This window comes from Homo sapiens, chromosome 5 (genome assembly GCF_000001405.40).
Source record: "Homo sapiens chromosome 5, GRCh38.p14 Primary Assembly".
Taxonomy (NCBI): domain Eukaryota; kingdom Metazoa; phylum Chordata; class Mammalia; order Primates; family Hominidae; genus Homo; species Homo sapiens.
Window position 1 is genome coordinate 74784649 of NC_000005.10, and position 12921 is coordinate 74797569.

The 12921-nt window shown below is 45.2% G+C and overlaps 1 protein-coding gene across 15 annotated transcripts in view, besides 1 other annotated feature; it reads right to left on the reverse strand.

Annotated features, from left to right (window-relative positions):
• FAM169A (family with sequence similarity 169 member A) overlaps nt 1–12921 on the reverse strand; it is an 89393-nt gene that overhangs the window by 7075 nt on the left and 69397 nt on the right. For 14 of the 15 annotated variants that reach the window (NR_046462.1, NR_164754.1, XM_047417083.1 and 11 more), the window contains one exon: nt 11382–11538. Coding sequence is in view for 12 of the 15 variants with exons in the window: in XM_047417083.1 (XP_047273039.1) it covers nt 11382–11538 (157 nt within the window). In the remaining 3 variants the exon portion in view is untranslated. Of the gene's footprint in view, nt 1–6466; nt 6794–11381; nt 11539–12921 lie in introns of all 15 variants that reach the window. The other variant, NR_164753.1, reaches the window with a different exon arrangement.
• Nucleotides 9775–10275: an enhancer, noted in NCBI's record as "H3K27ac hESC enhancer chr5:74090248-74090748 (GRCh37/hg19 assembly coordinates)". NCBI's record gives its function as "activates a minimal SCP1, AML or CMV promoter by ChIP-STARR-seq in naive H9 embryonic stem cells {active_cell/tissue: H9 hESC(naive)}" and the evidence as "EXISTENCE:reporter gene assay evidence [ECO:0000049][PMID:30033119]".

The following is a 12921-nucleotide window of genomic DNA, read 5'->3' on the forward strand; positions in this document are numbered from 1 at the left end:
TGGCTCACACCTGTAATCCCAGCACTTTGGGAGGCCGAGGCGGGCGGATCACAAGGTCAGGAGATCGAGACCATCCTGGCTAACATGGTGAAACTCCGTCTCTACTAAAAAATACAAAAAATTAGCCGGGCGTGGTGGCAGGCGCCTGTAGTCCCAGCTACTCGGGAGGCTGAGGCAGAAGAATGGCGTGAACCCGGGAGGCGGAGTTTGCAGTGAGCCAAGATCGCGCCACTGCACTCCAGCCTGAGCAACAGAGCAAGACTCCGTCTCAAAAAAAAAAAAAAAAAAATGAAAATGATAGTTGTCACTGTCACTGGTATATGTCTTATTGATGAAACAGGTTACATGAAGTATGTACAATATAATCTTAACTTTTTAAAAGTGAAAAAAAGGCCAGGCACCGTGGCTCACGCCTATAATCCCAGCACTTTGGAAGCCAAGGCAGGTGGATCACAAGGTCAGGAGTTCAAGACCAGCCTGGCCAAGATGGTGAAACCCCATCTCTACTAAAAATACAAAAATTAGCTGGGCATGGTGGCAGGCGCCTGTAATCCCAGGTACTCGGGAGGCTGAGGCAGAGAATTGCTTGAACCTGGGAGGTAGAGGTTGCAGTTAAGCCTAGATTGCACCACTGCATTCCAGCCTGGGCAACAGAGCGAGACTCCGTCTCAAAAGAAAAAAAAGAAAACCCCACAAATACGTATTTCCATAAACATCTAGATGCATACAAATCCTGTTTTTAAAAAATACGTGCTTTTAACTTCCTATATGTGCTTTTTTTCATTTTCCCAATTTTCTACAATAAAAGTACCATTTAAAAATACAGTTTCCAGCTAGGCGCCGTGGTTTATGCCTGTAATCCCAGCACACTGGGAGGCAGAGGGGAGAGGATCACTTGAGGTCCAGAGTTCAAGACCGGACTGGCCAACATTGGCAAAAACCCCATCTCTACTGAAAATACAAAAATTAGCCTGGCATGGTGGCACATGCCTAATTCAAGCTACTTGGGAGGCTAAAGCATGAGAATCGCTTAAACTCAGGAGGTGGAGGTTGTAGTGAGCTGAGTTCGTGCCACTGCACTCCAGCCTGCATGACAGAGAATCTGTCTCAAAACACACACACACGTATGTATATATATAGTTTCCTATCAAATAGTGGGATAAGGACATGAATAGATAATTCTCAAAAGAAGATATACAAATGGCCAACAAACATGGAAAAATGCTCAACATCACTAATTGTGATGGCTAATACTGTCAACTTGATTGGATTGAAGGATGCAAGGTATTGTTCCTGGGTGTGTCTATAAGGAGATAAACATTTGAGTCAGTGGACTGGGAGAGGCAGACGCACCCTCAATCTGGGTGGGCACCATCTAATCAGCTGCCAGCATGGCCAGAATAAAAAGCAGGCAGAAGAACGTGGAGAGATTAGACCAGCTTAGCCTCCCAGCCTACATCTTTCTCCTGTGCTGGATGATTCCTGCCCTCAAACATCAGACTCCAGGTTCTTCAGCTTCAGGACTCAGACTGGCTTCCTTGCTCCTCAGCTTGCAGACAGCCTATTGTGGGACCTTGTGATCATGCAAGTTAATATTCCTTAATAAACTCCCCTTTATATATACATCTGTCCTATTAGTTCCATTCCTCTAGAGAACCCTAACAGGCTTTGGTACCAGGAGTGGTTCTAGAGGAACAGAATATTAAGGATGGAGTTCTTTCGTAGGTTTTGGGGTTTCTGAAGTTGGCTCCTTAATATGATCAGACACCAAAATGCTAAGGACTCTACTTCTAATAGTATGGAGAACACTGATAGTCTTTGGCATGAACTGTTTAGAGTTATGCAAAATAAATGCATTTGACACTCCTGATACACCGCTCGTGAGAGGGAAGAAGTTTGGTGACTCTAAACATAATACCTTTGACCATATGGAGAACCAAGGAACATAATGAAGTTAGTTGGCTGCTCCTAAGTTCACTGGACAAAGTGATGAAAGACAATGATGAACTCAGGGATTCTAACTCCTGGCTTCAAAAGCAGATACTCGCTTTAAAAGCCCCAAGTGAGAGTCTTATCTCCTGTAGACAAAGAGCTGAAATTGTGGAAAATCAGACACAACCTCTTATCATGTAAGTGGCTGACCTGCAACGAAAGGTGCATGCACAGCCTCGCCAGGTGTCTACTCTTAAAGTGAGGGCCCTGATTGGAAAAGAATGGGACCCTGCAACTTGGAATGGGGACACGTGGGAGGACCCTGATGATGCTGGGGACACAGAGCTTGTAAACTCTGATGAGACTTTTTGCCAGAAGAAACAGCTTCGCCATCCCCAGTAGTGGTAACATCACCTCAGGAGAAGAGAGCCAGCCCTGTTTGCTTCTAGACCTATAACTGGACTAAAGTCCCGGTGGCCTCCTAGAGGTGAAGTTCAGAGTGTGACCCACAAGGAGGTGTGCTACACTTGAAAAGAACTGCTAGAGTTTTCTAATTTATATAAGCAGGAATCTGGAGAACAGGTGTGGGAACGGATGTTAAGGGTGTGGGATGATGGTGGAAGGAACATAGAGTTCGATCAGGCTGAATTTATTGATTCGGGCCCACTAAGTAGGGACTCTGCATTTAATGTTGCTGCTCAGGGAATTTAAAAAGGTTCTAATAGCTTGATTGCTTGGTTAGCTGAAATACGGATTAAAAGATGGCTCACTCTGAGCGAGCTGGAAATGCTGATCTCCCTTGGTTTAATGTAGAGGAAGAGATCCAAAGGCTTAGAGAGATTGGGATGGTGGAGTGGATTAGTCACTTTAGACCTACTCATCCCAGCTGGGAGGGTCCAGAAGATATACCCTTGACCGATGCTTTGCGAAAGAGATTTGTGAGGGCAGCATGTTAATCTTCAAAGAGCTCTATGATTACTCTTCTCTGTATGCCAAATCTAACAGTGGGAACTGCAGTCACTCAACTACAAAATTTAGAACGGGAATAATTGGATCCTGACGTGGCAGAGGCCAAGTGGGAGCACTCAACCATCAAATGCAAGGTGGGCGAGCTACCATAATGGACCGCAGCAGAGGCAAAGCAGCAATCAGAATAATCTGACTTGTGTACAGCTTTTGCACTGGCTAATTAATCACAGTGTTCCCAGAAGTGGAATTGATAGGAAGCCTACTGAATTCCTACTTAATTCATATAAGTGGAAAACTTCCAGGTCGAGTGGACAAAAGACTAATCTGAATTATTAAAAAAAAGAGAGAATCACAGCCCCTCAATTTCCAGACTTGAGCCACTTTATAGACCCAGAACACCTTGAATGAAGCCCCTTGAGGAAGGACCCCACTACAGTAGAGACAATTTATGCTGTGAGTCTTTCTCCCATCCTTCCCCAAGGAGACCTCTGGCCTTTTACCAGGGTAACTGTGCACTGGGGAAAGGGAAATGATCAGACATTTCAGGGACTACTGGACACTGGCTCTGAGCTGACGTTGATTCCGGGGGACCCAAAACGTCACTGTGGTCCTCCAGTTAAAGTAGGGGCTTATGAAGATCAGGTAATCTAATGGAGTTTTAGCTCAGGTCTGACTTACAGTCGGTCCAGTGGGTCCCCGGACTCATCCTGTGGTCATTTCCCCAGTGCCAGAATGCATTAATTGGCATAGACATACTTAACAGCTGGCAGAGCCCCCACAATGGCTCCCTGACTGGTGGGGTGAGGGCTATTATGGTGGGACAGGCCAAATGGAAACCATTAGAGTTGCCTCTACCTAGAAAAATAGTCAATCAGGCCGGGGGCGGTGGCTCATGCCTGTAATCCCAGCACTTTGGGAGGCCAAGGCGGGCGTATCACCTGAGGTCGGGAGTTCGAAACCAGCCTGACCAACATGGAGAAACCCCATCTCTACTAAAAATACAAAATTAGCCGGGCATGGTGGCACATGCCTGTAATCCCAGCTACTAGGGAGGCTGAGACAGGAGAATCGCTTGAACCTACGAGGTGGAGGTTGCGGTGAGCCAAGATCGTGCCATTGCACTCCAGCCTGGGCAACAACAGCGAAACTCCATCTCAAAAAAAAAAAAAAGAAAGAAAAATAGTCAATCAAACACAATATCGCATCCCTGGAGGCACTGCAGAGATTAGTGCCACCATCAAGGACGGTGCAGGGGTGGTGATTCCCATCACATCACGGTTCAACTCTCTCATTTGGTCTGTGCAGAAGACGGATCTTGGAGAATTACAGTGGAGTATCATAAACTTAACCAAGTGGTGACTCCAATTGCAGCTGCTGCACCAGATGTGGTTTCATTGCTTGAGGAAATTAACATATCTCCTGGTACCTGGTATGCAGCCAATGATTTGCCAAATGCCTTTTTCTCCATTCCTGTCCATAAGGCCCACCAGAAGCAATTTGCGTTCGGCTGGCAAGGCCAGCAACACACCTTTACTATCCTACCTCAGGGGTATATCAACTCTCCAGATTTGTGTCATAACCTTGTTCAAAGAGACCTTGATCGCTTTTCACTTCCACAAGTTATCACACTGGCCCATAACATTGATGACATTATGCTGATTGGATCCAGTGAGCAAGAAGTAGCAAACACACTGGACTTATTGATGAGACATTTGCATGCCAGAGGATGGGAAATAAATCCGACTACAATTCAGGGACCTTCTACCTCAGTAAAGTTTCTAGGGGTCCAGTGGTGTGGGGCCTGTTGAGATATTCCTTCTAAGGTAAAGGATAGGATGCTGCATTTGGCCCCTACTACAACCAAGAAAGAGGCACAGCACAAGTTGGCCTATTTGGATTTTGGAGGCAACAAATTCCTCATTTGGTTGTGTTACTCCAGCCCATTTATCGAGTGACCCAAAAGGCTGCCAGTTTTGAGTGGGATCCAGAACAGGAGAAGGCTCTGCGACAGGTCCAGGCTGCTGTGCAAGCTGCTCTGCCACTTGGGCCATATGATCCAGCAGATCTAATGGTGCTTGAGGTGTCAGTGGCAGGCAGGGATGCTGTGAGAAGCCTTTGGCAGGCCCCCATAGGTGAATCACAGCGGAGGCCTCTAGGATTTTGGAGCAAGGCCCTGCCATCTTCTTCAGATAACTACTCTCCTTTAGAGAGACAAGTGCTGTTTGGAGCCTTTGGCAGGCTCCCATAGGTGAATCGCAGTGGAGGCCTCTAAGATTTTGGAGCAAGGCCCTGCCATCTTCTGCAGATAACTGCTCTCCTTTTGAGAAACAGTTCTTGGCCTGTTACTGGGCTTTGGTAGAAACCGAATGCTTGATTATGGGTCATCAAGTCACCATGTGACCTGAACTGCCTATCATGAACTGGGTGCTTTCTGACCCATCTAGTCATAAAGTGGGTCATGCACTGCAGCATTCCATCATCAAATTGAAGTGGTATATATGTGATCGGGCTTGAGCAGGTCTTGAAGACACAAGTAAGTTACATGAGGAAGTGGCTCAAACGCCCATGGTCTCCACTGCTGCCACCCTGGCCTTCTTTTCCCTAGCCTGCACCGATGGCCTTATGGGGAGTTCCCTATAATCAGCTGACAGAGGAAGAGAAGACTAGGGACTGGTTCAAAGATGGTTCTGCATGATATGCAGGCACCACCCAAAAGTGGACAGCTACAGCCCTATAGCCCCTTTCCTGAAGGACACTGGTGAAGGAAAATCTTCCCAGTGGGCAGAACTTCGAGCAGTGCACCTGGTTGTGCACGTTCCAAGGAAGTAGAAATAGACAGATGTGTGATAATACTGATTCATGGACTGCAGCCAATGGTTTGGATGACGGTCAGGGACTTGAAAGAAGCATGATTGGAAAACTGGTGACAAATTTGGGGAAGAGGTATGTGGATGGACCTCTCTGAGTGGTGAAAAAATGAAGTTATTTGTATCCCCTGTGAGTACTCTACCAAAGGGTGACCTGAGCAGAGGAGGATTTTAATAATCGAGTGGATAGGATGACTTGTTCTGTGGACACCACACAGCCTCCTTACCCAGCCGCCCCTGTCATCACCCAATGGGTCCATGAACAAAGTGGCCATGGTGACAGGGATGGTGGTTACGCATGGGCTCAGCAACATGGACTTCCACTCACCAAGGCTGACCTGGCTAAGGCCACTGCTGAGTGCCCAACTTGCCAGCAGCACAGACCAACACTAAGCCCTTAATATGACACCAGTCCTTGGGGTGATCAGACAGCTAATTGGTGGCAGGTTGATTACACTGGACCTCTTCTATCATGGAAAGAGCAGAGGTTTGTCCTCACTGGAATAGACACCTACTCTGGATATGAGTTTGCCTCTCCTGCACGCAATGCTTCTGCCAAGACTACCACCCGTGGACTCGCGGAAGGCCTTATCCATCATCATGCTACTCCACACAGCATTGCCTCTGAACAAGGCACTCACTTTACGGCAAAAGCAGTGCGGCAGTGGGCTCATGCTCATGGAATTCACTATTCTTACCATGTTCCCCATCATCTTGAAGCAGCTGGATTGACAGAATGGTGGAATGTCCTTTTGAAGTCACAATTACAACGCCAACTAGGTGATAATACTTAGCAGGGCTGCGGCAAAGGTCTCCAGCAGGCTGGGTATGCTCTGAATAAGCATCCAGTATATGGTACTGTTTCTCCCATAGCCAGGATTCACAGGTCCAGGAATCCAGGGGTAAAAGTGGAAATGGCATCACTCACCATCACCCCTAGTGATCCACTAGAAACATTTTTGCTTCCTGTCCCCATGACATTACGTTCTGCTGGCCTAGTGGTATTAGTTCCAGAGAGACGAACGCTGCCACCAGGAGACACAACAATGATTCCATTAAACTGGAAGTTAAGATTGCCACTTGGACACTTTGGGCTCCTCCTACCTTTAAGTCAACAGGCTAAGGAGGGAGTTACAGTGTTGGCTGGGGTGACTGACCCAGACTATCAAGATGAAATCAGTCTACTACTCCACAATGGAGGTAAGGAAGAGTATGCATGGAATATAGGAGATCCCTTGGGGTGTCTCTTAGTATTACGATGCCCTGTGATTAAGGTCAATGGGAAACTACAACAGCCCAATCCAGGCAAGACTACAAATGGCCCAGACCCTTCAGGAATGAAGGTTTGGGTTACTCCACTAGGAAAAAAAAACATGACCCACTAAGGTGCTTGCTGAAGGCAAAGGGAATACAGAATGAGTAGCAGAAGAAGGTAGTCATCAACTCCAGCTTCGACCACGTGACCAGCTGCAGAAACCAGGACTGTAATTGTCATGAGTATTTCTTCCTTATTTTGTTAAGAACATGTTTGTGCATGTATACATTTGTACTAAGAAAATATCTTCATTTTATTTCCCTTTTCCTTTATCATGTGACATAAGATTTATTGACATCATATCAGCATTAAGTGTTTATGTAATATTATTTGGGTTGGGGGTTTCCACTTGTACGAATGACAGTTGTATTATGTTAGGCATAATTATTACCTTATTATTGTCTTTATTTGAAGATTATGTATGATCTCAGCAAGTGTGTATGGGTTCAGGCTGACAAGGGGTAGACTTGTAATGGTTAATACTGAGTGTCAACTTGATTGGATTGAAGGATGCAAAGTATTGATCCTGGGTGTGGCTGTAAGGGTGGTATTATCAAAAGAAATTAACATTTGAGTCAGTGGACTGGAAGAGGCAAACCCACCCTCAATCCAGGTGGGCACCATCTAATCAGCTGCCAGCATGGCCAGAATAAAAAGCAGGCAGAAGAACATGGAGAGATTAGACTGGCTTAGCCTCCCAGCCTACATCTTTCTCCTGTGCTGGATGCTTCCTGCCCTCAAACATCAGACTCCAGGTTCTTTAGCTTTGGGACTCGGACTGGCTTCCTTGCTTCCTTGCTCCCTTGCTCCCTTGCTCCCCACCTTGCAGATGGCCTACTGTGGGACTCTGTGATCATGTGAGTTAAAACCCCTTAATAAACTCCCCTTTATATACATCTATCCTATTAGTTCTGTCCCTCTAGAGAACCCTGACTAATACACTAATTATCAAGGAAATGCAAATCAAAACCACAATTTGATACCATCTTACCCCTGTAAGTATGGCCACAATAAAAAATAGATGCTGGAGTGGATATGGTGAAAAGGGAACACTTTTACACTACTGGTAGGAACATAAACTAGTACAACCACTATGGAAAACAGTGTGGAGATTCCTTAAAGTACTAAAAGTAGAACTACCATTTGATTGAGCAATCCCACTACTGGCTATCTACCCAGAAAAAAAGAAGTCATATGAAAAAGACACTTGCACATGCATGTTTATAGCAGCACAATTTGCAACTGCAAAAAATATGGAACCAAGCTAAATGCCCATCAACCAGTGAGTAGATAAAGAAAATGTGGTATATATAGGCCAGGCACAATGGCTCACACCTGTAATCCCAGCACTTTGGGAGGCCGAGGTGGGTGGATCATGAAGTCAAGAGATCGAGACCATCCTGGCCAACATGGTGAAACCCCGTCTCTACTACAAATACAAAAACTAACTGGGTGTGGTGGCATGTGCCTGTAATCCCAGCTACTTGGGAGGCTGAGGCAGGAGAATCACTTGAACCAGGGAGTTGGAGGTTGCAGTGAGCTGAGATCGTGCCACTGCACTCCAGCCTGGAGACAGACCAAGAGTCCATTTCAAAAAAAAAAAAAAAAAAAGTGGTATATATAGACCATGGAATACTACTCAGCCACAAAAATGAATGAAATAATGGCATTCACAGCAACCTGCATGGAGTTGGAGACCATTATTCTAAGTGGAGTAACTCAGGAATGGAAAACCAAACATCGTATGTTCTCACTCATAAGTGGGAGCTAAGCTATGAGGAGGCAAAGGCATAAGAGTGTTATCATGGACTCTGGGGACTTGAGGGAAAGGGTAGGAGGCGGGTGAGGGATAAAAGACTACACGTTGGGTACAGTATACACTGCTTGGATGATGGGTGCACCAAAATCTCAGAAATCACCACTAATGAATTTATCCATGTAACCAAACACCCATCTGCTCCCCAAAAACTACTGAAATATTACAAAAATAGGCTGAGCACAGTGGCTCAAGCCTATAATCCCAGCACTTTGGAAGGCCAAGGCGGGCGGATCACACGGTCAGGAGATCAAGACAATACTGGCTAACATAGTGAAACCCCGTCTCTACTAAAAATAGAAAAAATTAGCAGGGCATGGTGGCAGGCGCCTGTAGTCCCAGCTACTCAGAAGGCTGAGGCAGGAGAATGGCATGAACCCAGGAGGCAGAGCTTGCAGTGAGCCGAGATTGTGCCACTGCACTCCAGGCTGGGTGACAGAGCGAGACTCCATCTCAAAAAAAAAAAAAAAAAAGAAATATTACAAAAATAAACATAAAAATATCATTTCATGAGGGTGGGTATGGTGGGTCATGCCTGTAATCCCAGCACTTTGGGAGGCCGAGAGGAGCGGATCAGGAGTTCAAGACCAGCCTGGCAAACATGATGAAACCCCGTCTCGGCGGATCATGAAGTCAGGAGATCAAGACCATCCTGGCTAACACGGTGAAACCCCATCTCTGCTCAAAATTCAAAAAATTAGCGGGGCATGGTGGCGGGCACCTGTACTCCCAGCTACTCAGGAGGCTGAGGCAGGAGAATGGCGTGAACCCAGGAGGCGGAGCTTGCAGTGAGCCGAGATTGTGCCACTGCACTCCAGGCTGGACAACAGAGTGAGACTCCGTCTCAAAAAAAAAAAGAAATATTACGAAAATAAACATAAAAATATCATTTCATGAGGCCGGGTATGGTGGGTCATGCCTGTAATCCCAGCACTTTGGGAGGCCAAGAGGAGCAGATCAGGAGTTCAAGACCAGCCTGGCAAACATGGTGAAACCCCGTCTTGGCGGATCACAAGGTCAGGAGATCAACACCATCCTGGCTAACACGGTGAAACCCCGTCTCTACAAAAAATACAAAAAAATTAGCCGGGCGTTGTGGCGTGTGCCTGTAGTCCCAGCTACTCAGGAGGCTGAGGCAGGAGAATGGCCTGAACCCGGGAGGCAGAGCTTGCAGTGAGCCGAGATCGCGCCACTGCACTCCAGCCTGGGCGACAGAGCGCAACTCCGTCTCAAAAAAAAAAAAAAAAACAAACACAAAAATTAGCCGGGCGTGTTGGTGTACCTGTAATCCTAGCTACTCGGGAGGCAGAGGCAGGAGAATTGCTTAAACCCAGGAGATGGAGGCTGCAGTGAGCTGACATAACATATGTCATTTCATGAAATAGAGGAAGCAGGAGCTAAATCAGAGTAACTTAAGAAAACAAAATTAGCTGGGCACGGTGGCTCACGCCTGTAATCCCAGCACTTTGGGAGGCTGAGGCGGGCACATCACCTGAGGTAAGGAGTTTGAGACCAGCCTGGCCAAAGTGGTGAAACCCCGTCTCTACTAAAAATACAAAAATTAGCTGGGTATGGTGGGGGGAACCTGTAATCCCAGCTACTTGGAAGACTGAGGCAGGAGAATCACTTGAACCCAGGAAGCAGAGGTTGCAGTGAGCCAAGATCACGCCACTGCACTCCAGCCTGGGTGCAAAGAGCAAAACTCCGTCTCAAAAAGAAAAAGAAAACAAAATTGGTAATATAATTTCACTTATTCACCTGCCTGCTAGACTTGGCAAACAGCTGAAAGATTTTTTCAAGAAATTTATGAACATATGAAAGAAGAAATAGAGAATCTGTGGAAAGGAAAAGATTGAAGATACTAAAGAGAAAAATGGAAATGGATAGAGGAAAGAAAAAAGAAGCTGGGGATAAATACTTTAAAGCTGCAGAAATCAACCCAGATGAAGAGTTTACTTAGTTACCAAGGGTTTATATATTTTTTTCTAGTGTTTAAAAAACATGAATTTAGTTATTTTTCCAGAACTTTGTGAGATCAACAGTCATCAAATTTTTTTTCTGGATTAGTAATTCCTACCCCTCTAACTAAAATGGGGGTGCCCCTGAAGGTTTATTGCACCTGAAAGCATTTTAACTGGTTCTATAAGGTAGATCTTATATCATTTGTGTATGTAAGTGTGTTTAATTCCACAAATTAACTTATACTTTAAATGCACCAAAAGATCTTACTAAACATCTCTATTTTATCTTCGATATAATTCAAACTTTTATAAGCTCAAACTTTTATAAACACAATCATATTTGTAATTTTATCCTCTCCCCAACTCTAGTACCTGACCTTGCTTAATATATATGATTTTTAACACTAAACGCAATTTCTAACACTCTAAAATATATCGCTATACTTTTCTAACAACATGTGATTAAGAAAGGTAAAATTTAGTTTACTTTTTTTCATTTTGCTGAATAAGTGATCTCATACCTTTTCACCATCTTGCTTCTCTTGCTGTGGCTGGGTTTCCAGTGCTGGCCGTGCATCTCTATCACTGCTTTCATCCTCAAATTCAATCCCTCTCTGTTCAGGTTCTTCTTCCAGGAATTCTTCTGAGCTCTCTGATGGGCGTGCAGTAGACTCCAATCTAAAAAACAAAAGAAAACCATTCTGACTTGTTTTATTAAGGATAAATATAAAATCTCAGAAGTCCTTTCTTAAAGTAACATTTTAGAGAATCAACTATGTTGTCAACAACTTCAGATTTTACAAGTCTAAAACCAATCTCTTCATCCTCTTATAATATTACCATCTTCTCAATTATGTAAACTAGACCCTTCTTCTTTTATTCTATCCATATCTTAATGGATCTTTTTTTTTTTCCGAGATAAAGTCTCGCTCTGTTGCCCAGGCTGGAGTGCAATGGCGCGATCTCGGCTCACTGCAACCTCCACCTCCCAGGTTCAAGCGATTCTCCTGCCTCAGCCCCCGAGCAGCTGAGACTACAGGCACCTGCCATCACGCTCAGCTAATTTTTTGTATTTTTAGTAAAGACAGGGTTTCACCATGTTAGCCAGGATGGTCTCCACCTCGTGACCTCGTGATCCGCCCATCTTGGCCTCCCAAAGTGCTGGGATTACAGGTGTGAGCCACAGCGCCCAGCCTGAATCTTTTTTTTTTTTTTAACCTCATTTATACTGAAGGACCATGGATCTTATTCTATTAGAATGAGCATATATCCCAGTTTACCTGGAGCAGTCCCAGTTTACAGACTTTTGTTCATAATTATGGATACTGGCATAATTATTAATAATGCTCCTTTCATTCTCAAAAATGTCACCTTGGACAACACATTATATGGTTTAGTTCTAACTCCAAAACTGCCTTTCAAATATATTCCTGACTTTCTATGCCCATTTTCACAGCTCTGCTTCAGGCCCCAGTTCTCTCTGGACCACTGTACTTCTCCCCAATTCAGCTTCAGACTTGTAGTACATCTTCATCAAGGCTTTCAAAGAGCTGGCTTTCTAATGCACATCATCTACACCTGTGATAGCCCAGCTCAGAAACGTCTGGTGGTTCTCTATAAGCTCAGTGAATAAAGTGTACCTTCTTTGAAAGCCTAACATATTTGTTTGTGTTTGTTTTTGTTTTTGAGACAGGGTCTCCCTCTGTCACCTACGCTGGAGTGCAGTGGCGTAATCTTGGCTCACTGCAACCTCCGCCTCCTGGGTTCAAACGTTTCTCTTGCCTCAGCCTCCTGAGTAGCTGGGATTACAGAAGTGTGCCACCACGCCCGGCTAATTTTTGTATTTTTAGTAGTGACAGGGTTTTGCCATGTTGTCCAGGCTGGTTTCCAACTCCTGACCTGAGGTGATCCACCTGCCTCGGCCTCCCAAAGTGCTGGGATTACAGGCATGAGCCACCGTGCCCAGCCTAGACCCTTATAATTTTATTTACCTTATTCATCAGTTATCCTTAGCAACATCCCTCCTAGCTTTGTGCCTTTGCTCATGTTAGTGCTTTAGTC